Raw genomic sequence first — 26,256 nt, forward strand, 5'->3', positions numbered from 1 at the left:
AATCTGTTGAGGGCCTGGATAGAACAAAAAGACAAAGGAAAGATGGATTCAGTCTCTCTCCTGGGACAGCCATCTTCTCTTGCCCTCAGATAGCAAAACTCCAGGTTCTTGGCCTTCAAACTCCAGGACTTAACCAGCGGCCCCTCAGGTTCTTAGGTCCTCAGCCTCAGACTGAGTTACACCATCATCTCCTCTGGTTCTCAAGCCTTTAGACTCAAACTGAAACACATAATTGGCTTCACTGGTTCTTCAGCTTACAGACAGCAATTGTGGGACTTCCTAGCCTCCATAATTTATTTCCATAATAAATCCCCTCCTGTTTATCTACCTATCCATCCTTCCATCCCATTGATTCGGTTTCTCTGGAAGACCCTAATATAATACATAAATTAAATATTTATTTTACTTTACTTTCAGGACCTAGCACCGTGCCAGGCCCCTAGAAGACCCAGTAAAGATCTGTTGAATAAACTGTAAGAATGAACACACCACTACAAGTGCCAGGTCCTGGTCCTTTCAAACAACGTGGAGAAAACCCAGTTCCAGATTTAGGAATCAATACCATATGTCTGGCAAAGACTCTTTGCTCTTGCAAGTGCCTTCTTCTGTTCAGGCTTTTAGCGCCCCTGGACTACAACAGAACTTTACTTTCTGGTATTCTTAGTCTCCCTAACCTCTGCACTTCATATTATGTAGGCAGATAAAAACTCTGGTTACATATATTGCTGTGTGATGACCAAAAAAAATTGTGGCTTAAAACTTTAATCATTTTATTAGCTCATGGTTTCTGGCAGTCATGAATTCAGGCAGGCCCTGGGACAGTTTGTCTCTGCTCCCCCCAGTGTTGGGGCCTCAGCTAGGAAGACTTTAAGGCTGGGAGAGATTTGATGCCTGGGAGAGACTCAATCACTGTGTAACCGAACACTTGCTTCTTACAGAGTCCAATTGACAAGGGTGAGGTATAATAGAAAGACAGAATTTATTAGCCAAAAATAGTAAAGGGAAAGCAATCGGATTCCTATCCAAATTAACGGCTTCTATTTTTAGGAAGAAGGCAGGGGTTTAAAAAGGGAAAACTTGATAAGGAAGGCAGACAAGAACTGGGCTGAGTACAGTGTCTGTGTGTCTTATTCTGGTGGCTATCTTGGGTCCTGGTCCACCTGGACCCTGGGCTGATGGCATTTCAACAACAGCCAGGTTGTTAACTAGCTGTCTTGAAGTAATCTCTGGAACTTTGCAGCTGGGTCTCCAGACTTGGTCTGTGTGTCTCAGGATTGACCCCTGGAACTTCTAAGAAGACACATAATTAGATACTAGTAGACAGTTGGATAAATGTGAAGGGAGTATATACAATGAGAAAGGGAGGGATGTGGACTCTAGAAAAGGTTTCTGCAGTTTGCTTCAAGGTTATATCTTTAAACCCAAGGAAAAGGGGAAAAAATTTTTAATGCAGTTTGAAGCTAAGCTGCCTGGTTACAACTGGGTACTAGGATCATCTGGAGGAATCTTCACTCAGCTGTCTGGCAGGTGACACTGGGACTTCATCTAGGCTGTTGGCCAAACACCTCTCCATGTGGCCTTTGCTTCCTCACAGCACAGTGCCTGGGTCCCAAGAACGACCATCCCAAGAGGACAAGACAGAACCATATCACCATTTGTGATTTGCTCTTGGAAGTCACATGATATCACTTCCATTGTAGTCACAGGCTCACCCAGATTCAGAATAAGGGGACACAGAACCTCTCAGTGGGAACCATCTGTGGCACATTGTAAGAGGAACATGTGGGATGAGAGATGTTGAGGGTTCATCATCCTAAAACATCACTTTAATCCTGTCTTCCCATTACTGACCAAAACAAATTCTGGCATTAAAGGCACTCTACACTTAGGCCTCAAATGCCTTTCCTTACTTCCTGTATTATCTCCTCCATTCAGATCAGACCGAACTACTCAGTCACCCACACTTGTCAGACTCATTCTTCTCTTGCCCTTTTTCTCAAGGAATCCCTCTCTTGACCTGAGAAATTCTACCTCTCACTTAAAAGTGACTGTTCACTGAATTCCGCAGAATGAACTAAGGTGGCAGGCAGGGGCCCTCAGAGATGCCATAAGTTACACCACCTGAGGATGCTTTCAGAGCACCACCTGCGTGTGGCTCTTTGCCATCTTGCCTTGGCTCACTTCCCTGTGTGCTTGGAAAGTAGAGACGATAGGCGAGACCTCAAAATGTAACTTACTTCCAAGCTATCTCCTTTTCAAAGCCCAGATCCCCCAATAATTTTGCAACCAACATGAAGAGGAGTTTCTGCCCAGTGGGCTGCTTTTTGGGAGAGACTGTGAGCAGATGACTTCATATTAACCCAGATCTAGTCAACCTTCTAGCCTGAAAAAACCTAAAATGCATAGTAGATAGTTTACATACGGACCGAGGCTGAATGAGCAAAAAGGTGGAGAGATGGATAATGAACACAGAAACAAGTATGACAATTTCAGTAAAGAAGATAAAATGGTGCGAGTATATGCTGACGGTAGGGTATTGCTTTAACTGTGCTGGTCAGGGAAATCCTTTCTGACTGGTGAAAAGCAGAGAAAGAGACCAAGGTGAAAATTCCCCCAAAAGTGTGAACCTGATCATAATTTTTTTTAATTTAATTTTTAGAGCCAGTGTCTTTCTCTGTCACCCAGGCTGGAGTGCAGTGGTGCGATCATAGCTCACTGCAGCCTCCAAACTCCTAGCCTCAAGCCATCCTCCTGCCTCAGCCTCCCAAAGCGGTGTAATTACAAGCATGAGTCACCATGCTCGACCCTCATCATAATTTTTTTTTTTTTGAGATGGAGTCTCAGGCTGGAGTGAAGTGGCGCACTCTCGGCTCACTGCAACCTCCGCCTCCCGAGTTCAAGCGATTCTCGTGCCTCAGCCTCCCAAGTAGCTGGGATTACAGGCGTGCACCACACACCCGGCTAATTTTTGTTAATTTTAGTAGAGACGGTTTCACCATGTTGGCCAAGCTGGTCTCGAACTCCCGACCTCAGGTGATCCACCCGCCTCGACCTCCCAAGGTGCTGGGATTACAGGCATGAGCCACCCGGCCTTCCTCATCATAATGTGTATGTCCAAAATGTATGCATCAGCAGTAAAAGTGAAAGCCAGAATGAAAAAGGAAGGTGATGAGAGGGGTAAAGTCTCATGTGGTTGGAACCATTTTGGGAAACAGGACAGGAATGATAGCAATTAAGAAGCCGGTCCACACTATTTGCTATCCTAGGTCTGAATAGTGAAGAGAAAATGAAAGGAGAGCGCCAAGGGTAAGAGAAAGAAATTAGCTATTCCACCTCCTGGTTGGCTACTGTCTTCCTGCCCTCTTCCCCATGGCACAGCAACTCCTCCACCTGCTGAGGACCCTAGCCTAAGCTGCAGCGCCCCAGAGCCTCAGCACCCCCGCGACCCAGCTCCCACGAGGGGCACGGGTTCTAGCTCCGCCCCGCAAGAAGGACTTCCGCGTCCTCGGCCGTCCCGCTCCCCCCGCCCCAACCCAGCGGTTCTGCGCATGCGCGGGGGCCATATTAGCAGCGGTTATTCGGTGAGCGGTGGTGGTTTATTCTTCCGTGGAGTTAAGGGCTCCGTGGACATCTCAGGTCTTCAGGGTCTTCCATCTGGTGAGCCTTTGGCCCCTTGGGGCCCGCGGAAGCTTGGCCGCTTTCCCATTGGGCGGGGGTCGTGAACGTCAAGACAGTCGGTCCCGGCCTGCAGTTGCCGCCGAGGAGCCGTGGGCACGATGACTCTGCACCGCCTCCTCTGTGACGGACCGACCGCCGGGAATGGCCCCCGCCGGCCGCCGTCGGGGGCTTCCCAGTGCCAAGCCTGGACGCCGGGGCCCGCGAGGGGGCGGGCTGAGGGTGGGGGTCTGTGGGCAGGACCGAGAGTTGGGGTGGCTTCCGTCCTCAGGAGTTCGGTACGTGAAAGTTAGCTCTCCCGGAGGTGCCGGTGAACTCAAAATAGTGCTGTGCCCGGCGTCAGGCGTGGAGACAACAGAAAGTTGTGCTTAAAGCTCGAATCAGAAATCCCCGGCGAGTGTCTCTGTGTCCTCCCTGCTTCTCTGCTCTGTGCCATCCTTACTTTGCACCATTCCTATTGCAATTACCTCAACCAGTTCGCTGCCCTCGGTCTCTCACCAGCCAGAGTGATCATTTAAAATGCCAATCAGTTCCTGTGGGCCTTGGGAATCATTCAGAGGAGCCCCATTGGCTGAGAGATAAAATTCTGTTTTTACCTGGGCACGCGGGCTCTCCAGGATTTGATTCCAGCTTACCTTTCCAGTCTTGATTCCCTATATTCCAGTATTTGGAAATGTGGGCCTTGGACTGAGGCTTTACCAAATAACGCTGAACACCTAGTATTGCCTTTTGCACGAATGGTACTGATGGTGCCCAAGATAACTGCCTCCACCCCCAAGTTCAGGACCCAGATCACTCTCTGGAGAAGGCCTCAGCCTCTTGCCTTGGCTTTCAAGGCTCTGCGTGATTTGGATACTCGCTTAGCTCTTATTTATATATATTTTAAAAGCATCAGCAGTTTATCTCATGCCCACTAAACTATCCTGCCTCCGTACCCTTTGTTCATACTTTCTGCTCTGTGTGGAATGCCCTTCTTTCTTCCCCTGTTCTTTCTCTTAGACCCAAGGGTTCTCAGCCTTATTTCTGCCTCTCCCATCTCTGATTTACTTTCATTTTCTGTATCGATTTCTCAAAAAATACTTTCTTGATTCTTTCATCATCCCTTTTCCCACCCTACCCCCGGTTCCTCTTTCCACATTATAATCTATGACTGCCTCTCTCACCTAACTGCCAGTATTAGCTTTTCAGGACAGGAACTGGTTTTACACATTTTGGTATTCCAGCATCTAGCATAATGCCTGACACTTAGCTGAATAAAGGGAGTAAATAAAACAGATTTGTAAAGTCAGCAAATGCTTTTTAATTTGTGAATCTTATTTTAATGATGATCTGATTTTCTTTTTACAGGAACTATATAAAGTTCAGAAAACATGGTGAGTTAATACACATGCCAATAAACGGTTGCCTGATAAACAGTATTGCTTGTACTCAGTTTACAGACTTGAGTGGGAAAATTGAAATAGAAGGAAAGCAGTGAGAAGGTGCCTTTTTTCTTGTCAGTTTCCTCTCACCTATTGAACTTTGTATACCAGGATAGGTTTTGTAAGATCATTTGTAGGCTTGCAGGAGTTGGCCTACTTTCAGTGGGTAGGAATCACTCATGTGTTTTTCCTTTGCAGTCTCGAAGATATGACTCCAGGACCACTATATTTTCTCCAGAAGGTAAAATAGAAATTGTTTAATCTGCCTCAAGTTTAAAAATAAATGTGTTAGACTTTTAGAAAAAAAAATTACAAACTTTTTTTGGTAGTTGCAAAGTTCATCCTTTTTGTACTTTGAAGCAATTATCATCACCAGGTTGATTATACCATAGAAGAGTGAAAGTGGAAATTTGTTTCTAGCTTGCTTCATTGCTGATTTCTTTTGGGCCAGTGGTGCAGGAGCACAGAGGAGAGTCTTGGCTTCTCACTGCTTTTGTTTTGTAGGTCGCTTATACCAAGTTGAATATGCCATGGAAGCTATTGGACATGCAGGCACCTGTTTGGGAATTTTAGCAAATGATGGTGTTTTGCTTGCAGCAGAGAGACGCAACATCCACAAGCTTCTTGATGAAGTCTTTTTTTCTGAAAAAATTTATAAACTCAATGAGTAAGTGAGATTTTAGGAAAGAGTTTAAAAAAAATCTCACTTTCTCACATAAGTGGGATCTATGTAATTTGGGAGGGCTCTTCCGTGCGATGTGGTAGAATTGAAATTGTGCCTTTATTTTGCTTGAAACCTCTTTGAGGCCTGGTACCATGTGTTACTCCTTTTAAGTGCAGGGCAAACACTTAGTGGAGAAACTAGCATTGTGTAATGATAAGAGTACAGACTTAGTAGTCACACAGATTTGGGTTCAACTCCAGGCTTCACCCATGCAGGCTATGTGACCTTGCACCGATTATTTAATTTCTTTGGGCCTCAGAGCCTCCTAAAGTGGTTGTGGCAGTTTAATGAAATAAAATGAATGAAATAAAATAGTATAGTATCTGGCATTTAGTAGGCCCTCAAAGTATTGTTTAGAATAGCTACGCAGGATTTTGTTGAATTACACTGAATCTTACTAAAGAACAAGCCTCTTAGAGGTCTCGAAGAATTTAGCCAAGCCTTGTACACTGTGTGAAATGTTTGTTATATTTGAGTGTGCAGAACTTTGCAGCTCATGGAGAGCTGACCGTGCTAAGTAGAGACTTTCCTTTCAGTGGTGGTGGGCTTGGTAAATGCTGATTATCAGGGCCTTTTGATAAACTTGTCCAAAGTGGTGTCACCCCTCCACAGAGCCTCTGTTGGGACCACTCAACAGCTGGCAGGCTTGGCTAGGCGTAGTCACAGGGCGAGTCTCAGCTATAAGAGAGCCAGGGCAGCCCTCAGGAAGTGGGCCCAAAAAAATGAAATGCACCTCTAGTAGGAGCCTAGCCCTGTACTTCCTAAGCAGGCTTGTAAACCCTCCTGCCATTGTCCCCTGTCACCTCTGTCAAGCCAGGCCTTAGGAAATGAATATTACTCAAGAGCAGTCTGTCTAGCAAAATCTTTTTTTTTTTTTTTTTTTTGAGACAGATTCTTGCTCTGTCACCCAGGCTGGAGTACGGTGACGCCATCTTGGCTCACTGCAGCTTCTGCCTCCTGGGCTCAAGTGATCCTCCCACCTCAGCCGCCCAAGTAGCTGGGACTATAGGTGCGCACCACCACACCCAGTTAGTTTTTGTATATTTTGTTGAGATGGGATTTTGCCGTATTGCCCAGGCTGTTCTTGATCTCCTGGGCTCAAGCCCTCCATCTACCTCGGCCTCCCAAAGTGCTGGGATTACAGGCGTGAGCCATTGTGGCAAGCCTGTCTTTTTATTCTTTGTTGCTGAATCTTCTTGAGATTACATTAGCTTCTTGGCGTTAATTTTGTTATCCTATTCATAGGTGGTAATGATAAATACATCTATTAAATAACTTAAAGGGTGCATTTGTTTATCTTTCATGTTGAGTGACATCGAGTAAACATCTCCTACAAAGATAAAACTTGTAGGTTTTTTCTGAAGGAAGTAGCTGTTGTGAAGCAAACATAGTGAATTTCTAATAGAAATTAGAATTTTTTAAATACTTATAAACACTCCTTGCAAGCATCTTCCCTGCTTACAGATCAATGTCTTTTTTTCTTCAAGGGACATGGCTTGCAGTGTGGCAGGCATAACTTCTGATGCTAATGTTCTGACTAATGAACTAAGGCTCATTGCTCAAAGGTATGGTCATAAATAGCATAACTGATGATACAGAAATTAGTTTTGATGTTTCTTTTTTTTTTTTTTGAGACAGAGTCTCACTCTGTCACCCAGGCTGGAGTGCAGTGGCACGATCTTGGCTCACTGCAACCTCCGCCTCCCGGGTTCAAGCGATTCTCCTGCCTCAGCCTCCCAAGTAGCTGACCACCACACCGGGTTAATTTTTGTATTTTTAGTAGAGACGGGGTTTCACTGTGTTAGCCAGGATGGTCTCGATTTCCTGACCTCGTGATCCGCCTGCCTTGGCCTCCCAAAGTGCTGGGATTACAGGCATTAGCCACTGCACCTGGCCTAGTTTTGATGTTTCTAAGGAGAGCTCACTTTTGCAAAGATTAAAGTCATTAAAAATCTTTGAATTGAAAATTACAGATTTTTTTCAACCAAACTTACAAAATATTATTTACTATGAGAATATTCAGATGTTGACTTGTTCCCTCCCCTTCAAATTACAAATGACTGTTAGGTTGTCCCCATGGCATAGATTGCTTTTCAGAGAATATTTTCCTTAGAGTCTGTCTGTGTTTTAGAGAAAACTACTAATGTGCCCATCTCTTTATCCTAGGTATTTATTACAGTATCAGGAGCCAATACCTTGTGAGCAGTTGGTTACAGCGCTGTGTGATATCAAACAAGCTTATACACAATTTGGAGGTATTTAATTTTTTTGAAAATTTTATTCGAAAAAGTTAAGACATTTTATGAGTTATAACCCTTTTGAGGTAGTAAAAAATTGAAAATAGACCCTTTGTTTTAAATTAAATTTAATTTTTTTAATTGGCAAATAAGAATTGTACATATTCATGAGGTACATAATGATGTTTCAGTGCACATAATGATCAGATCAGGGTAAATGGCACATTCATCATCTCAAACACTTGTGTTGGGAGCCTTCCATATCCTTCTAGCTATTTGAAACTAATATGTTATGGTTAACTATATTAATCCTACAGTAGTATAGAACACTAGAATTTCATACATTCTTGCTTCATGAATGAACGTGTTCCTCCACCATGTAGATTACCCTCGTTTTATTAATAGGATATTGAAAGTCCAAAACAACATTTTCAAATCTGGAAACTAACTGCTGTTTACATAATAATGAAATTCAGCACTGGTCCTTTGTCTGTTCCCTCTTCTGGCTGTGTCCAAATCGTAGAAACAAAAGTCGAATTTGTAATGGAGCTTATCTATGGTAGCCAGAATACAAAACAGTTTATGAATGCTTAAGTTCACAGAGTAGGGTTTAGCTACCTTCACTGAGCTCAAGTAACTGTAGTGATACTAAATTTAGATTATTGATATGTTTGGCTTTTTTTCTTTGTTAAAGGAAAACGTCCCTTTGGTGTTTCATTGCTGTACATTGGCTGGGATAAGCACTATGGCTTTCAGCTCTATCAGAGTGACCCTAGTGGAAATTACGGGGGATGGAAGGCCACATGCATTGGAAATAATAGCGCTGTGAGTATTTTTGTTGTGCTATAAAATCTAGCAGAATGTCTAATAACTGCCATAATTTTGCCATGGTGATGAATGTAAACAGTATTTTAAGATAGCTGCAACAACCTTAATGTGATATGGAAATATCTGTGATTTCTGTTGGTGACAGCATTGCTGATATAGCTAATATACTGGGGTTCGTTAACTACATTAATAAATGCTAATTTTCAGTTAGGAGTTGTGAAATTAGAAGCTGTGATTTTGTTTCACATCTAGTTTACAGACCCCCTGTATTCTATGACAGACCCCTTGGGAGACTGAGGACCCCAGGTTAAAGACACTCTTTATAGAGCATTAGTACCCCCTCTTCTCACCCCGTGCCGTGTGTGCCCTCCCTGTCATCAAAATTATGTATATGGGCCAGGCATGGTGGCTCATGCCTGTAATCCCAACACTTTGGGAGGCCGAGGCAGGCAAATTGCTCGAGCTCAGGAGTTCGAGACCAGCCTGGGCAACATAGCAGAACCCCATCTCTACAAAAAATACAAAAATTTGCTGGGCGCCATGGCATGTGCCTGTAATCCTAGCTACCCAGGAGGCCAAGGTGGGAGGAGGAGCACCTGAGCCTGGGGAGACTTGAAGATACAGTGAGCTGAGATCATGCCACTACACTCCAGCCTGGGCAACAGAGTGAGCCCCTGTGTCAAAAAAAAAAAAAAAATTGTTTATACTTGTAATGCCAATAATAATTCAGGCATTTTTCTTCTAGACCAATTCATGTTTCTAAAAAATGTAAAAACTTAAAATTCTATGTTGATTCATGTTTTATAGGCAGCTGTGTCAATGTTGAAACAAGACTATAAAGAAGGAGAAATGACCTTGAAGTCAGCACTTGCTTTAGCTATCAAAGTACTAAATAAGACCATGGATGTTAGTAAACTCTCTGCTGAAAAAGGTAATTCATATCCTCTCCTTTAATTCTTTCGACTGAGTGAGGGAAATTAGCAGCTGTTAAGATTTTTTTCTTTTTTTTTTTTTTTTGAGATGGAGTCTCGCTCTGTTGCCAGGCTGGAGTGCAGTGGCGCAATCTCAGCTCACTGCAACCTCCGCCTCCTTGGTTCAAGTGATTCTCCTGCCTCAGCCTGCCGAGTAGCTGGGACTACAGGCTCGCGCCACCATGCCCAGCTAATTTTTGTATTTTTAGTAGAGACGGGGTTTCACCATGTTGGCCAGGCTAGTCATGACCTCCTGACCTCAGGTGATCCTCCCGCTTCAGCCTCTCAAAGTGCTGGGATTACAGGCGTGAGCCATTGCGCCCAGCCAGCAACTGTTAAGATTTTAACATGTCATCCTAGTTCATTGAAACAGCAACCTTACGAATTAGGTGATGTTATCCCTGTCTTCTAACTGAGGACACTAGGGCTTAATGAGGTTAAGTGAGTTGACCAAGATCAACATTGGTAAATTGTGGAGTCACAATCTCACACTGTATTCCAAACTTAAAGGCTTGATACTGAACAATCTCATTACTCACAGATAGACATCCTGCACTGTGCTACTTTTAGTTAACAGTTATCAAGTCTTCTCATCAATGATATCTTTGCTTGTGTGTATATATGATAAAGCATACGTATGTAGTTATATATTTATACATAGGTTTGGTATACTTTACCAGAGATACAACATTTGCGTGGGTTGTGATACCCTCTCCTGTTCTTCTTAATCTACTAATCTCTTATTTTAAGCTCATGTTAGCAATTCCAAATACCTTGTTCAACTTAAGCTATATGACTATATAAAAGAATATTTCAGTCGAGCTTGGTGGCTCATGCCTGTAATCCCAGCACTTTGGGAGGCTGAGGTGGGTGGATCACCTGAGGCCAGGAGTTCCAGATCAGCCTGGCCAACATGGTGAAGCCCCATCTCTACTTAAAATACAAAAATTAGCTAGGCATGGTGGTGCATGCCTATAAATCCCAGCTACTTGGGAGGCTGAGGCAGGAGAATCACTTGAACCTGGGAAGCGGAGGCTGCAGTGAGTTGAGATCATGCCACTGCACTCCAGCGTGGGTGACAGAGAGAGACTCTGTCTCAAAAAAAAAAAGAATATTTCTAAATGTTTTTCAGAAATTGTGGTAAATTAACATGTTGCTTTATGTTAGGACAGTTTAGCTCCTGGTGTTCCTTAGAAAATGCCATTTACGGCCGGGCATATTGGCTCACGCCTGTAATCCCCAGCACTTTGGGAGGCCGAGGTGGGTGGATCACCTGAGGTCAGGAGTTCAAGACCAGGTTGGCCAACATGGTGAAACCCCTGCCTCTACTAAAAATACAAAAAATTAGCCGGGCGTGGTGGTGCGCACCTGTAATCCTGCTACTCAGGAGGCTGAAACAGGAGAATCACCTGAACCCAGGAGGTGGAGGTTGCAGTGAGCCGAGTTTGCGCCATTGCACTCCAGCCTGGGCAACAAGAGCAAAACTCCATCTCAAAAAAAAAAAGAAAAAGAAAATGTCATTTACATGCAGATTGCCCTCTTTTGTCTACTTCCACCCAGTTTCAAGGAAGCACTACTCAGTTTCCCTGGTACAAAAAAATTCCTTCCCCTTTAGGTATCAGTCTGCTTTTCTTGGCCATTTCATGCCTTTTATTTATTTATTTTTTTAAGAGACTTGAAAAGTCCATAAAAAATAAGCTGTTATTACCAGTTGAAGATTCTGGCTGAGCCCTCAGAGGTTCCAACAGTTCCGTCTAATCAGCACAGCTAATAGCAGGCCGGCAATAGCAATTGGTTGATTATACTTTTTCTAAGGGAGTGACAAAATGGCTGAGGAGACGATATTTAAGTAAAAATTATAATTAAAACATTACAAGATCAAAAGTATATTGTTCTCATAAAAGGGAATAATGTTAAGTATAAAACATAGGAGAGTGCTGAACTAACGTTTCAATGATGTGGCGAGCATAAACCATGAGTGCCTATTAAGCTTCTCTGCTAAGTATGCCTGCCTGCCTGCAATACAAATAAATGTATGTGTTTGTTTTTAGTGGAAATTGCAACACTAACAAGAGAGAATGGAAAGACAGTAATCAGAGTTCTCAAACAAAAAGAAGTGGAGCAGTTGATCAAAAAACATGAGGAAGAAGAAGCCAAAGCTGAGCGTGAGAAGAAAGAAAAAGAACAGAAAGAAAAGGATAAATAGAATCAGAGATTTTATTACTCATTTGGGGCACCATTTCAGTGTAAAAGCAGTCCTACTCTTCCACACTAGGAAGGCTTTACTTTTTTTAACTGGTGCAGTGGGAAAATAGGACATTACATACTGAATTGGGTCCTTGTCATTTCTGTCCAATTGAATACTTTATTGTAACGATGATGGTTACCCTTCATGGACGTCTTAATCTTCCACACACATCCCCTTTTTTTGGAATAAAATTTGGAAAATGGAAATGAAGGAATAAATTCTCTGTAGCAGTAATTGTTAAATATACAAAAACTGACAGGGCGATTACTTTTTGCACATTGTGGCTTACAGTCCTTTCACAAAGATGGGCACGTTCCTCAGGCTGGCCAGATTATTCGTCTCTGTCTGCAGGAATTGGTTTGAGAATGAACACGTGAGCTGAACAAAGCCAGAATTGATGTGTGGGTGTGGATCTCGCAGCTAGGACTGAGGCTGCCCACAGGCAGCAGCTCAAGCTGCGCGGAAGATGAGGTGTAGAAGTTAAGGCCACAGAGGAAAAGTGGAACCAAGAGATGAGAACAGTTACGTGTTGGCTGAAGGGAGCTCTGTTGCTGGGGTTTGTTCAACCTGAGTTCCCTTGGCTATCTGTGGCTTCATGACAGAAGTGATACAGGGCAGTGGTACTTAATGCGTAGCCATGGTGCTTTAGCATCACCTATGCAGATTCTGATGTCCCATCCCAGATCTACTGAATTAAAATCTCTGAGGGTGAAACCCAGTAATCTGTTCTAACAAGCTCTGCATGTGATTCTTAGGAATGCTAAGTAAAACTTTAAGAAGTTTTTGTTGCATATTAGAATCACCTAGGAAGCTTTTGCAGCTTGTAAGCATGCTGTATCGATTAACTCAAGCTCTGTGGTGGAACCCAGATATTAACATTGCTTAAACTCTTCAGGTGATTTCCATCAGCTAGGGTGAGTGCATTGAGCCATCATTTACCCTTCTCTCAGCTGTTGTCAACCAAATATGTGCTCCCAGTCTAATTTCTCATTGTAGATTTTCTTAATGCAGCTCCCTGCAGTTTTCTGTATAGGCTAAAGTATTTACAAGCCCTATTTGCAGCACTTTTTTGAACTTCTAAATTATTCTCTTACTCTGTACAGCAGGTTCTCGTTATTTTTGGTAGTTATGTTCTAAAGTCACCACAAAAACTAACAAAATACTGAACTCTTGCACCTAGAGAAAGTACTGGGTTAGGGTCCTACAAGCCACTGGTCACATTTTTATCAACTGATCAGTACATAACCTGTTTTTTGTGTATTTCTACTTAAAGACACCTTTTTAAATGTGTATTGTGGATTCATTAACATAGAACTCAGCCAACAGCTCTTTACGTGAATGTTTTTGTTTTGTTTTGTTTTTTGAGACTGGGTCTTGCTCTGTCACCCAGGCTGGAGTGCAGTGGCGTGATCATATTTCACTGCAGGCTCAAACGGTCTTCCTGCCTTGACCTCCCAAAGTGTTGACATCACAGCCCTCTTATGCTTAGGAACAACACTAAACAGTGTTTTTTTCATAGAGACGGTGAGCAGGGAAGGTCTCACCATGTTTCCCATGCCGGTCTCAAGCTCCTGGACTCAAGCGATCCTCCTGCCTCAGCCTCCCAAAGTGCTGACATCACAGCCCTCTTGTGCTTAGGAACATTAAACAGCACTTCAGCACTATACCTGGGTGCCATTTGAAATAGTAAAATCACTAAGAAAAATGCAAAAATAAACGGCACAAGGTAGACTGCAGGAACACTTACACGGTGTGAGAGCTGAAACAAGAATTCAGAGTGTCGCCTTGCTCAACCTCAGATGGGAACATGTGCACCTGGGTACTCAAAATTTTCACCACTCTGCATGTCAACAAATGACTAAAAGTACCACAAGTATTGGTTTGGGGGTTACATGTACATTTTATGAGAATGCAAATTTTGCAAATTCACAAGTACAGAATCAGCAAGTAGTGAAGATGAATGGCACGTCTTCACCCTCCAGTCTTGCTACACCCAGAGGTTGAGGTAGTCAATAAATCTTATTAACTCTGTCTGCAGAATTTACCCATAATCCAGCCACTTTCCACTGCAGGAACGCTGGTCCAATTCACCATTATCTCTGACTTGGACTATTGCAACAGCCTCCTAACTGGTTCCTTGCCTCCACTTCATTCCCCACAGTCAATTCTCCAGCAGCAGCCACAGTGATCCTTTCAAAATGTAAACGGTACTACTGCACAGTTTTGGCTCAAAACCCTCCAATGGCTTCCCATCTTGCTCAGTAAGAGTCAAATTCTTTGTACTGGTTCATGAGGTATCCTGTATTCTGGCCTTGTGCTACCTTCCATGTGCTTCCTTCCTCACTCATTCATCCAAATGAGCCTTCTCATCATTCCCTGAATGTGCCAAGCTCCCCTCACATCACTTGCCAATCCCTCTGCCTTGGGAATGCTCTTCCTGGGTATCTATTGCCCACTCCCTCATCTCCAGGTCTCTGCTTGCATGTCACCTTTTTTGGGGTACTTCTGTGAAGGAGCAATCTCTTTCCCCTGCACACTCACATTTTCTATTCCCTATACATACCCTGTTGAGTTTTTCTCCATAGCACTCATCACCAGCTGGCATATTTGTTTCTTGTCTCTCCCCACTGGAATACAGACTTCCAGAGCAGTACTTTGTTTTCATTCAATAGTCGTGTCTCGGTACCTAGAACAGAAACTGGCACGTGTTAGGCAACAAATAAGTACTGATGAATGAATAAATACCCTGGATATGCTGGTGTGAAATCCTAAAAAATACCTGCTTTCCATCCAGATCAGTAGCACTGGTGGATTTTCTGTATCCTGACTACCCCTTCAACATTTGCCTAAAGCTAGGACAACTTCTTCAAAGGCAATAGTGAATAAGAGAGCCTGGTATAGTTTGCCGCCACATTAGGAAAGTCTTCAGAATTTGACCCTAACAGCAGGCAAATTTCAACGTATTCATCTTTTTGTTGAAATAAATTCATACTGTGAGGAAAAGCAAAAGATAGGAGGTGAGGCAAAAGCTACTCTTTAACTGTGAGTTTTTTTTCCTTGCGATGGGGTTTGGCTGCCTAGTCTAGATTCTCACGCTAGCCCCACTTTCGTCTGCTCTGTGGCATATTTTTAACCTGAGTTGCAGGACAGGTGGTTTCCAGAGTGTTGCCTGATGCATCCCAAATGCTGCCTTAGCAATACACATCTGAACAGGGGCCCATCACTAATAGCAAGCATTTCATTAATCTGAGCAAAACTCATGGGTTTTCACAGGGACCCTACCAGCTCAGAAGCACGTTGATATAAATAAGTAGAAAACCAAAGACAGCTAAGTTTTAAATCTTGAGTCAAAACTTTAAAATCAAAGTCAAATTGATTTCATTTTGGTGAGCTTTCAAATCATGCTTTTAAAAATAAATTATGTAAAAAAATCATGTACTCCTGTGTATAATTTTACTTCTGGTGTTTTTTCTTAATCAGAAAATAAAGGAAGACTCTGGAATTTGTACAGTCTAGCACTTTGAAAGTTCCATGAGAATATTTGTTTTAGCAGTGCAAAAATATTCCATACTCTGAAAAACAAAACCAGAAAGTTGATTCATTCCTTTATTGGACACTTACCATGTTCCTGATAATTTTAGGTGGTGGGGATATATGGATAAGACACGTCCTCGGCTCTTAACTTGCAGCCTTGCAGGAAAAGCAGATAATCAACAACAATATTGTGGAGGAGCGCTAGACTCCAGGTAGCTGTGTGCCGAAGAGTAGGGAGTAAAGGCAGAAGGAACTGCACGTGCAAAGGCTTGGCAATGGGAAAGCTTCACAGTAGCTAAGCAGAGCTAGAGCACAGCTTGCTGGGGAAATAAGAGAGAAGGTTGGAAATGTGCACTAGGATGAGAAGACAGCTTTGCAAGTCTTGAAGTTTGTGCTCTATGCAATGCAGAGGCAGCTGAGATTTTTTAGTGAATGAGAAAAACAATTACTCTGACTTGTTTAGAACAATGATTCTGGGAGCCCAGAAGATGGACTAGGTGGGAAGAGACAGAGTGAGTTAGGAGGCTACTGAAATAGGCAAGGAAGGATGAGGGTGTAAGACTGTAGTAAAGTGAACAGAGAGGAAGGGAAGCTGCCGCGGAATGACGGAGGACAGAGAAAGAGGAAGGGATGACAAGGGCATCAAATTCAAGTAGTCACAATCTGATCTAAAAGAGCACTCGGTGAACATGATGAACTACTCTTAAAATTTCCTAATGTCTTTTTTGTTACTATTGTTATAACCTGAAACCAATTAGAGTTAATATCCCTAGTAGGGAAGAATTCTGTAAACAACATTGTATATCACACGTCGGAGTAAACCCATGTCAAATGCTTTTTTCCCCTTCTTCTTCCAGGTATTATTCATTTGTATTCTTGCATGCACTGTCTGATCATCTTTTTTGCCCAATTTCTATCAGATAATTTAACTTTCTATAAATTCATTTATGAGCTCTTTTAAAGATAGTTCTTTGTCATCTGTGTTACCTTTTTTTTTCATTGTAGCATTTGCATTTTTATTTTGATTTTGATGCTGATGTACCGAAGGGTTGTTTTGTGTTTACGTAGACAAAGCTATCATTTAAAGTTCTTGTTAGTACAATGCACATAAAAATATTCCCCATGCCAAAGTACATCAACATTATTCTAGTAAATTTGTGGCTCAATCATCTTTATAATACACAATTTGCAAAATATAATTGTTAATCTCTTTTTAAAAGCAGTATTTAAATTAATCATGAAACTTTAATTCAATTGTTCAGACTACTTGGGAATTTTCCATTCTTGAGTGAATTCAGAATTACGTGAAATGATAGTTATTTACCTTTCTCCATTTATTTTTGTTATTTTTTGGTAACAGCCTTACTGAGATACAGTTCACATACCATACAATTCACCCATTTAAAACATACTTTTCAATGGCTTTCTGTATACTCCCAGGGTTGTGCGACCATCACCACAATTGATTTAGAACATCTTCATCACCCCAAAAATAAAACTCCACACGCTTCTTAGACATCACCCCCAAATCACTGCCCAGTCCTAGGCAACCACTCATCTACTTACTGTCTCTATGGATTTGCCTATTATGGACATTTCCTGTAAATGGAATCATACAATATGTGATCCTTTGTGTCTGGCTTCTTTCACTTAGCGTAATGTTTACAAGGTTTATCTATGTGGTAGTGTGCATCAGTAATTTCTTTACTAGATTAGAGAAAAAAAGCAGAGATTTATTATTTTTCTTCCATTGTATGGTTATACTACATTTTGTTTACTCATTGGCAAAAATATGAGTTATTTCTACTCTTAAGAATAATGCTGCTGTGAACACCCAGGTACAAGTTTTTTGTGTGGACATACGTTTTCATTTATTTTGAGTATACACCTTGAAGTAGAATTTTTGGCTTATTTTAAAATCCATCTTTATGCCATACATTAACATTAGTGATATGGATTTTTAAAAGAATCTACTTTGCCCTATTTTCTCCTATAAGAACCCAATAGAAATGGGAAATGGGTTGACTGTTTGAGTAAATGTATATGAATCTGTTAGTTATAGAAGTAGGTCTCACAGTTGGAGAGGATTTTCACTTCCTTTCATCTTGGCAGGAAGAATGTTTTCTCTAAGTTTCTTTATACTTAACTTTATACTCTCTAGTGAGAGGCCAAGTCTTTGATTCTGTACCTAAGAGCCTTATGTAATAACCTTCTCTGAAATATTAGGAATCACATGGAATGGGAGAATCCAGGGTAAACTGTCTTCTGATTCCTAAACAATCTAATAACTTACTTTTTCTGATTAGGAAAGCAATGCATGATCACTTTGAAAAATACACAGTGAATAAAATAAAAATCACCCATAATATCTTGCCCAGAGTTAGCCACTATTAACTTGTCTCAGTGGCCCAGTTTAGATGCTGAACGAGCATACTGGTAACCTTCAGCAAATTATAGGCAAGCCATTTTAAAATACTGTTTTATTTTGTTTTCTTTTGAGATGGAGTCTTGCTCTGTCACCCAGGCTGGAGTGCAGTGGCACAATCTCGACTCATTGCAACCTCCGCCTTCCAGGTTCAAGCAGTTCTGCTGCCTCAGCCTCCCAAGTATCTGGGATTACAGGCGCCTGCCACCATACTCAGCTGTTGTTTTTTGGAATTTTTAGCAGAGAGGGGGTTTTACCATGTTGGCCAGGCTGGTTTCAAACTCCTGGCCTCAAGTGATCCATCCGCCTTGGCCTCCCAAAGTGCTGGGATTACAGGCGCGAGCCACCGCCCCCAGCCTAAAAATACTCTTAAAGGAGAAATGTAAAAATACTTTTTCCTTCTAATTGCTTTTCTTTTCTTTTTCCTTTTTTGAGATGACGTCTCGCTCTTTTGCCCAGGCTGGAGTGCAGTGGCACCATCTTGGCTCACTGCAACCTCCGCCTCCCAGGTTCAAGCCATTCTCCTGCCTCAGCCTCCTGAGTAACTGGGATTACAGATGCACACCACCACGCCTGGCTAATTATGTATTTTTAGTAGAGATGGGGTTTCTCCATGTTGGTCAGGCTGGTCTCGAACTCCCGACGTCAGGTGATCCACCCACCTCAGCCTCCCAAAGTGCTGGGATTGCAGGCGAGAGACACCACGCCCGGCCTCTAATTGCTTTTCTAAAGTATTTTGCAGCCTTAGAAAGCCCCATTTCTCTTTACAGCAGAGTAGAAGCTATCATTTGTTGATTAAACAGTAAGTGTCAGCTACATTATAAATGTTAGTGCTAATTCTCACAACAACCTTGTAAACCCTTGAGGGCTTACTCTGTGCTCAGTGATTTAGAGGCAATCTCTCTATTGTGTAGTTGAGGAAACCAAAGATCAGAAAAGGTGAGTAATTTGTGCCAAGTCACACAACTCCAGTGCCATCATTCCATGCAAGCCATCACTATCATCCCTTGCCTGGACTTCTATAATAGCTGCCCATGGCCAGGCACAGTGGCTCACACCTGTAATCCTAGCACTTTGAGAGGCCAAGGCAGGCAGATTGCCTGAGTTCAGGAGTTCGAGACCAGCCTGGGCAACATGGTGAAACCCTGTCTCTACTAAAATACAAAAAAATTAGCTGGGCATGGCGGCATGCACCTATAATCCCAGCTACTCGGGAGGCTGAGGCAGGAGAATTGCTTGAACCCGGGAGGCAGAGGTTGCAGTGAGCCAAGATTGTGCCACTACACTCCAGCTGGGTGACAGAGTGAGACTCCATCTCCAAAAAAAAAAAAAAGATATTTTGCATATGAGCGTAACAATACGTTATTAGGGTCTTTCCCAGGGCCTTGGAAGGAGCCGTGCAAATGAAGAGGCTTGACTCTTAAGCTGCATTAGCTTCACAGTAAATTGGGGAAGTTCTCTGATGGGAAACCTATGCAAGGTTTAAGACATGTGTTCATGTGCTCCGATTGACATATTAAGAAGATCCCTCTAGCAGTGAAGGGGAGAATAGGTTGGAGGGGAACAAGCATGGGCAGCTTCTTTTTTTGAGACAGTCTTGCTTTGTCACCCAGGCTGGAGTGCAGTGGTGTGATCTCAGCTCACGGCAACCTCCACCTCCTGGGTTCAAGCCATTCTCCTGCCTCAGCCTCCCGAGTAGCTGGGACTACAGGCATCCGCCACCGCGCCTGGCTAATTTTTTGTATTTTTAGTAGAGACGGGGTTTCACCGTGTTAGCCAGGATGGTCTCGATCTCCTGACCTCATGATCTGCCCGCCTTGGCCTCCCAAAGTGCTGGGATTACAGGCGTGAGCCACCATGCCTGGCCCAAACTATCATTTTCTAGTTACTGTGATGTTTGTCAACTTTTACAAAATTTGTTCTGGCTTTGAGTGTTGTGGTCCAAAAAATAATGTAATTTGTTGAAAATTTTTTTGTTCTAAGTAAATATCCAATTTCACACGCAATTTCACATTTGTACTATCATATTCTTTTTCTATTTGTAGAGATAGGGTTTTGCTATGTTGCCCAGGCTGAGTCTTGACTTTAACTCCTGGGCTTAAGCGATCCTCCCTCCTCAGCCTTCCCAGTAGCTGGGACTACAGGCCCGTGCCACCACACCTGGCTTGTATTGTCATATTCTTTGCTTAAAGAGGACTCCTTCCCACCTGCCCAAATAATACAATCTTCAATATAAACCGGAATTAGCCCCAGCTTTCCATTGTCCCCCTATCTTGTTGAGAATCTGTACCCCTGATTCCTCTCTGCCCCTCCCTCTCACAAACTTCTTTATTCTTTTTTTTTTTTTTTTTTTTTTTTTGAGAGACATGTTCTCTGTCACCACAGCTGTGGTACAATCATAGTTCACTGCAGCCTCAACCTCCTGGGTTCAAGTGATACTCCCATCTCAGCCTCCCAAGTAGCTAGGACTACAGGTGTGCACCACCACACTCGGATAATTTTTATTTTATTTTTAGTAGAGATGAGGTCTCACTATGTTGCCCAGGCTGGTGAACTCCTGAGCTCAAGTGATCCTCCTGCCTTGGCTTCCCAAAGTGCTGAGATTACAGGCATGAGCTACTGTGCCCGGCCGTAGCAAGCTCTTTTCTACCAAAGGGTCTTTAGCTAGATCACCCCTGTATCTGGAATGCTCTTCCCCTCCATCCTGCATGACTGCCACTTTCTCCATCTTCTGTCCTAACTCAGGTTATCTTGTCAGGAAGGCATTTCCTGACCACCTGATTAAAAGTAAAATCCCCTACCCCCCACTGCATCAATTTCTAGTTATTCCTCAAGTTTTGTTTGTTTGTTTGTTTTTGTTTTTGAGACAGAGTCACACTCTGTCGCCAGGCTGGAGTGCAGTGGCACAATCTTGGCTTACTGCAATTTCTGCCTCCCGGTTAGCTGGGATTACAGGCATGCGCCACCACACCCAGCTAATTTTTGTATTTTTAGTAGAGACGGGGTTTCACCATGTTGGCCAGGATGGTCTCCATCTCCTGACCTTGTGATCTACCTGCGTAGGTCACCCAAAGTGCTGGGATTACAGGCATGAGCCACTGCACCTAGCCCTCCTCAATAGTTCTTATCAAATTCTGAAATTATCTTGCTTACTTGTTTTTTATTTTATTTTTAAAGACAAGGTCTTATGTTGTTTTTTTAAAGGCAAAGTTTATTTTTTTTTTTTGAGATGGAGTTTTGCTCTTGTCACCCAGGCTGGAGTGCAGTGGCGCACTGTCTGCTCACTGCAATCTCCACCTCCTGGATTCAAGCGATTCTCCTGCCTCAGCCTCCCAAGTAGTTGGGATTACAGGCACATGCCACCACGCCCAGCTAATTTTTGTATTTTTAGTAGAGATGGGGTTTCACCATGTTACCCAGGCTGGTCTTGAACTCCTGACTTCAGGTGATCCACCCACGCCAGCCTCCCAAAGTGCTGCGATTACAGGCATGAGCCACCGCACCCGGCCAAGGTTTGTTTTTTCAAGACAAGGTCTCAGTCTGTTGGCCAGGCTAGGGTGCAGCAGCAGGCATGATCATAGCTCACTGTACCCTTGAACTCCTGTGCTCAAGCGACCCTCCCACTTCAGCCTCATAAGTAGCTAGGACTACAGGTGCACACCACCACACCTGGCTAATTAATTTTATTTTATTTTATTTTTTTGTAGAGATAAGGGGGCTCTTGATGTTGCCCAGGCTGGTCTGGATCTCTTGGCCTTAAACAATCCTCTCACGTCAGCTTTCCAAAGTGCTGGGATGACAGGCGTGAGCCCCCTCGCCCGGCTTTGTTTACTTGTTTATTGTTTGCATTCCTTCCCAAGGCAGTACTTTCCAAGAATTCAGGGACATTAACTATCATGTTCACTGCATCATTCCTAGAATTTGGTGTATACGTGAGTTGTTTCTTAAATATTTGTTGAACGAATGAATGAATAGCTGGGAGTGACAGCAAAGATTCAAACTCATGTTTATCTGACTCCACAAATCAAAGGCTGTGCGATTCCCAATATGCCAAGAGCTCTCTGTATTTCCCAATCTGTTATCCCATAAAGCATTGAAAAGATCATGTGTGTGTTAGAAACACAAGCAGTTTCAATTCTGGTTCACCAATGACTGAGAAGATCAGATACAATCAAGGATCAAAATACCCTTTTCCATACAGGTGACTTGAAGTATTCTTCAGTTTTCAAAAAATTTAAAACACCTAAAATTAATCAGCCATGTTCTAGAAGAGCAAGGAAAGATTGTGTCTTGTGTGAGACAGCTGTGGAACTGGAAATTACCAAACGATTTCCAATTTTAAGAGATTTGGATCAGGTGGCTTAGAATTAGATTAAAGACAATCAATTCCCTGAAACAATCAATGCCATACATAATCTTCCGAAGGAGCTTTTTCTATTGCTGAGAGGTTGCTCATCTGGTCTTGTTTCTTATCCCTATAGAAACCTTGATGTCAATTAGTATTCCACGGGAAATGAAGCTAGATGAGAAAGTGAACCCTTGCTAAATAAATTAGAAGAGATGATAATTAAAGCAGAGATTCCAAACCATATCAGAGAAGCAGCTCTATCTTCATTTTACCATTACTTCCCTAAAAGCAATATATGGCAGTTTACAAATTACACATGGAAATGAAATATATTTAATTTTGGATTTTTTTGTGCTTTTGAGAATCAGAATTTTATAATATCTCTTGACTGAAGGGGAATTAATCTGGGAACCAATAATTTGGCAATCAATACATTAAATTCTAAGATGGCAGTTCTCCTGGTCTATAGCCACAAATATCTGGAACATTTGTGGTCTAAACCTGCAGTATAAATTGTACTTTGGATTCACTTCTGGTATACATAGCAGTGTCTATAAATACCTCTCATGTCCAGAATAGAAAGCCTGAGGGAGAGATAGAGGCTAGATATTTGATATTAGAAAAATATTCCAATTCTACCTTTTGCACAGAATTGAATATTTGTAATTGTATCTTGTAGATATCAAATTAAAAGCATAAGTTTCATTTTAACATTTATAATAGTATATCATCTATGGAGAACAGACAATACATATTTATATTACACACATTTATATGTTCCTAATAAGGTGTCTTTATTTAGTAGACAAATGTTGAACTTTTGCATATTAAAAATTATTACTCAAGGACTTTATGGAAATTCATATTTGTCTTAAAAAGAAAAATTATTTTATAACGTAATTCATCACTCCCAGATTTAAAAGCTTTCAACATTTAGGGGACATGGGATATTGTATTGCACTTTCTTAAAATAAAAAACAGTATCTTCATTTTTAACAAGAATGTTTTGTAGGCCAGGTGTGATGGCTCATGCCTATAATCCCAGTACTTCGGGAGGCCGAGGCGGGCGGATCACCTGAGGTCAGGAATGCGAAACCAGCCTGGCCAACATGGTGAAACATCTCTACTAAAAATACAAAATTAGCCAGACGTGGTGACGCATGCTTGTAATGCCAATACTTGGGAGGCTGAGGAAGGAGAATCACTTGAACCTGGGGTGCGGAGGTTGCACTGAGCTGAGATCGCGCCATTGCACTCCATCCTGGGCAACAAGAGTGAAATTCCATCTCAAAAAAAAAAAAAATGTTTGGTAGCTGAATTGCCATTTCCTTATTAACATGCGTTTTTCTATTGGTAATTGAACCTGTGACATTGTGTGATATATACGCTATTATTAAATTCTATTGAGAAGGCTTAGTTTTATATATGGCTTATATTTTTGTGATATTTGATTTTATGCATTACTATTTAGTTATTACAATCTAATAAAAATGTGGCAAATTAATTTTCTTCTTTAAAACTCTCCACATTAAAATATGTCTGTACTTTTACATTTTGATTGTGGTCACTGAAATAGCCCTTGAAAGAGACCTTTACTTCTTATATCATTTCTTATGAAGGATTGAATTTTAATATCCCATCAAAACTTGCTTTTTTCTTTTAATCTGTGAAAATGAATTTAATTTCAGCAGTAAAATTGACAGCATCCATTTTTATCTTTAATTAACTTTTCAGTTTGGCTTTCATCTTAAAGGCTCACGGCAGAATTTATTACCAAGCCATAATAGAAGTGCTGAATGGAAGATTCAGAGAAGCTGCCTAGCTCTGAATTTAGCTCAGTTGACCCCATTATAAAAAAGAAAAGTGAACAACATTGATATAAAAGACAACTCATTAGGCCATACCACTCACAGATGACAATGTTTATTTTTGATGTCTGCTATTTACTTGGCCTCCTAATTCCCTTTCCATGCACTCTCTTTTTAACTCCAAAGCACCAACTGCCCTTTACTTAAGGGTTTTGTAAGGATGAAAGTACGTCAGAGAATAATTGCTACATAAATAATAATAGCTACCATCTATTGAACACTCAAGCACTGTGCTAAGGACTTTATGAACTTTACATTCTGTGAGGCAGGTTTTATGGCACTGTTTAAAAAGTTAGTAATAGGGCTTAAAGAGATTAACTTTAGTTTAGTGAATGGTTAAGTCCTTGAAGTCAGGTCACCTGGATTCGAATCCCTGCCCACTATTTTCTAGCTCGCTAGCTCTCAGATCTTTGGATTCATTTATTCAGTGAAAGTAATGAGCAGAGGGAGTACAGGGCCCAACTTAGAGAGATTGCTTTCATACAAGAAGTGACGATCAGCCCAGTGCTGAAGGAGGAGTAGGAGTTAGGCAAGGCAGAGGAGGAGGAGGGGTGGAGAGAGATTAGTCCAGGCAGAGGGAACAGCATGTGTGAAGGCCCTAGGGTGGGACTGGGCTTGGTGGTTCCTGGACTGAAGGGGCCCATGTGGCTGGAATTTAGCATGCAAAGGGGAGGGGTGTGATGTGGAGTTTGTGAGCGTAGCGGGGGCCCCTCTAAGAATCATGACAAGGACTTGGGATTTTGTTTCTGTTTGAAGACAATCACTCAGGCTGCCATCTGGAGAGTGTGTTGGAGGATGCAGGGAAGGAGACCCAGTGAGAGGCTGGGGCAGGAGTCTAAGATAGAGATGCATTTGAATAAACTAGGAGTGGAAAGGAGATACAAGAGATGGATTCAAAATAAATTCAAGGCTGGCCAGGCACGGTGGCTCACACCTGTAATCCCAGCACCTTGGGATGCTGAGGCAGGTGGATCACCTGGAGTTCGAGACCAGCCTGACCAACATGGTGAAACACTATCTCTACTAAAAATACAAAATTAGCTGGGCCTGGTGGCGCATGCTTGTAATCTCAGCTACTTGGGAGGCTGAGGCAGGAGAATCACTTGAACCTGGGAGGCAGAGGTTGCAGTGAGTTGACATCGCACCATTGCACTCCAGCCTGGGCAACAAGAGTGAAACTCCTTCTTAAAAATAAATACATAAAAATAAATAAATAAATAAATAAATTCCAGGTAAATAGCACTTAGAGTTGAATTAGACTCGGTGGGTGAAGCAGAGGGAGGAACTCAGGATGACTTCCAGTTTTCTAGCTTGAGTAATTAGTCAGATGGTGGTATCATTGATTGAGATGGGAAGGCTAAGAGGATAACATGGTTTGGAACATCTTAAGTGACATAACTAAGTGATTATGATGTAAAGTACATAGTCAAATACACTGGAGCTCAGAGGTGAGATCAGCACCTATCTGAGTATGAATCTGGTCATCATCAATATATGGATGGTATTTACAGCCAGGGAAGTGAATAAGATCACTGAGGGGGGAAGTTTACAGAGACAGAATAGGTCCCAGATTTGAGCCTCTGGAATTTCCAACATGCAAAGCCTGGGTAGAAGAGGAGGAACCTGCCAAGAGAACTGAGAAGGTGTTGGCCAAAACAAGGATAATAAAAGTACCACTCCTGTAATATTGATACTAAATGAACTAGCATATTAAAACGTGTTTAAATTCTTACAGTCCCCATTACTTAGCAGTGTTAAGATAATTGTTAAATTCTACTTTCTATGGCAAGGTACTGACTGGCAAGTAGGTATTATAAAGGTGAACAAGACATAGCCCCGCTGGGTATGGTGGTTCACACTCCTAATCCCAGCATTCTGGGAGGCCGAGGTGGGAGGATCTCTTGAGCCCAGGAGTTTGAGACAAGCCTAGACAGCATAGTTAGACCTTGTCTCTACCAAAAAAAAAAAAAAAAGAAA

General features: G+C 42.2%; 2 protein-coding genes across 7 annotated transcripts in view, besides 4 other annotated features; both read left to right on the forward strand.

Annotated features, from left to right (window-relative positions):
* Window positions 1–491, forward strand: part of HYKK (hydroxylysine kinase) — a 29,797-nt gene extending 29,306 nt beyond the window's left edge. The window contains exon 5 of the mRNA NM_001083612.2: window positions 418–491. Coding sequence (NP_001077081.1) covers window positions 418–419 — 2 coding nt within the window. The 3' untranslated portion in view covers window positions 420–491. The remainder of the gene's footprint in view (window positions 1–417) is intronic.
* On the forward strand, window positions 3,523–15,535 carry PSMA4 (proteasome 20S subunit alpha 4). 6 transcript variants are annotated; one of them, NM_001102667.2, is made up of 9 exons: window positions 3,523–3,581; window positions 5,023–5,048; window positions 5,295–5,337; window positions 5,601–5,763; window positions 7,308–7,385; window positions 7,987–8,075; window positions 8,752–8,882; window positions 9,693–9,816; window positions 11,908–12,380. In NM_001102667.2, the coding sequence occupies exons 2-9, from the start codon at window positions 5,046–5,048 to the stop codon at window positions 12,060–12,062; spliced, it is 786 nt and encodes a 261-aa protein (NP_001096137.1). In that variant the 5' UTR covers window positions 3,523–3,581; window positions 5,023–5,045; the 3' UTR covers window positions 12,063–12,380. The 6 variants fall into 6 exon arrangements, with proteins under 6 accessions (NP_001096137.1, NP_002780.1, NP_001317604.1 ...); NM_002789.6 differs by having other exon boundaries at window positions 3,562–3,657; window positions 11,908–15,535; NM_001330675.2 differs by having other exon boundaries at window positions 3,562–3,657; window positions 5,694–5,763; window positions 11,908–15,535.
* Window positions 3,600–3,709: an enhancer, noted in NCBI's record as "active region_9919". NCBI's record gives its function as "activates an Ori minimal core promoter by ATAC-STARR-seq in GM12878 lymphoblastoid cells {active_cell/tissue: GM12878}" and the evidence as "EXISTENCE:reporter gene assay evidence [ECO:0000049][PMID:35858748]".
* Window positions 3,790–4,059: a silencer, noted in NCBI's record as "silent region_6712". NCBI's record gives its function as "represses an Ori minimal core promoter by ATAC-STARR-seq in GM12878 lymphoblastoid cells {active_cell/tissue: GM12878}" and the evidence as "EXISTENCE:reporter gene assay evidence [ECO:0000049][PMID:35858748]".
* Window positions 3,790–4,710: a biological region, named in NCBI's record as "H3K27ac hESC enhancer GRCh37_chr15:78833042-78833934".
* Window positions 3,818–4,710: an enhancer, noted in NCBI's record as "H3K27ac hESC enhancer chr15:78833042-78833934 (GRCh37/hg19 assembly coordinates)". NCBI's record gives its function as "activates a minimal SCP1, AML or CMV promoter by ChIP-STARR-seq in primed H9 embryonic stem cells {active_cell/tissue: H9 hESC(primed)}" and the evidence as "EXISTENCE:reporter gene assay evidence [ECO:0000049][PMID:30033119]".

Source organism: Homo sapiens, chromosome 15, assembly GCF_000001405.40.
Source record: "Homo sapiens chromosome 15, GRCh38.p14 Primary Assembly".
Classification (NCBI taxonomy): domain Eukaryota; kingdom Metazoa; phylum Chordata; class Mammalia; order Primates; family Hominidae; genus Homo; species Homo sapiens.

Coding starts and splice junctions, on each gene's coding strand:
- PSMA4 (NM_001102667.2), top strand. Junction 8,076..8,751: donor AGCTTATACACAATTTGGAG/GTATTTAATTTT, acceptor TCTTTGTTAAAG/GAAAACGTCCCTTTGGTGTT. Junction 9,817..11,907: donor TAAACTCTCTGCTGAAAAAG/GTAATTCATATC, acceptor GTTTGTTTTTAG/TGGAAATTGCAACACTAACA.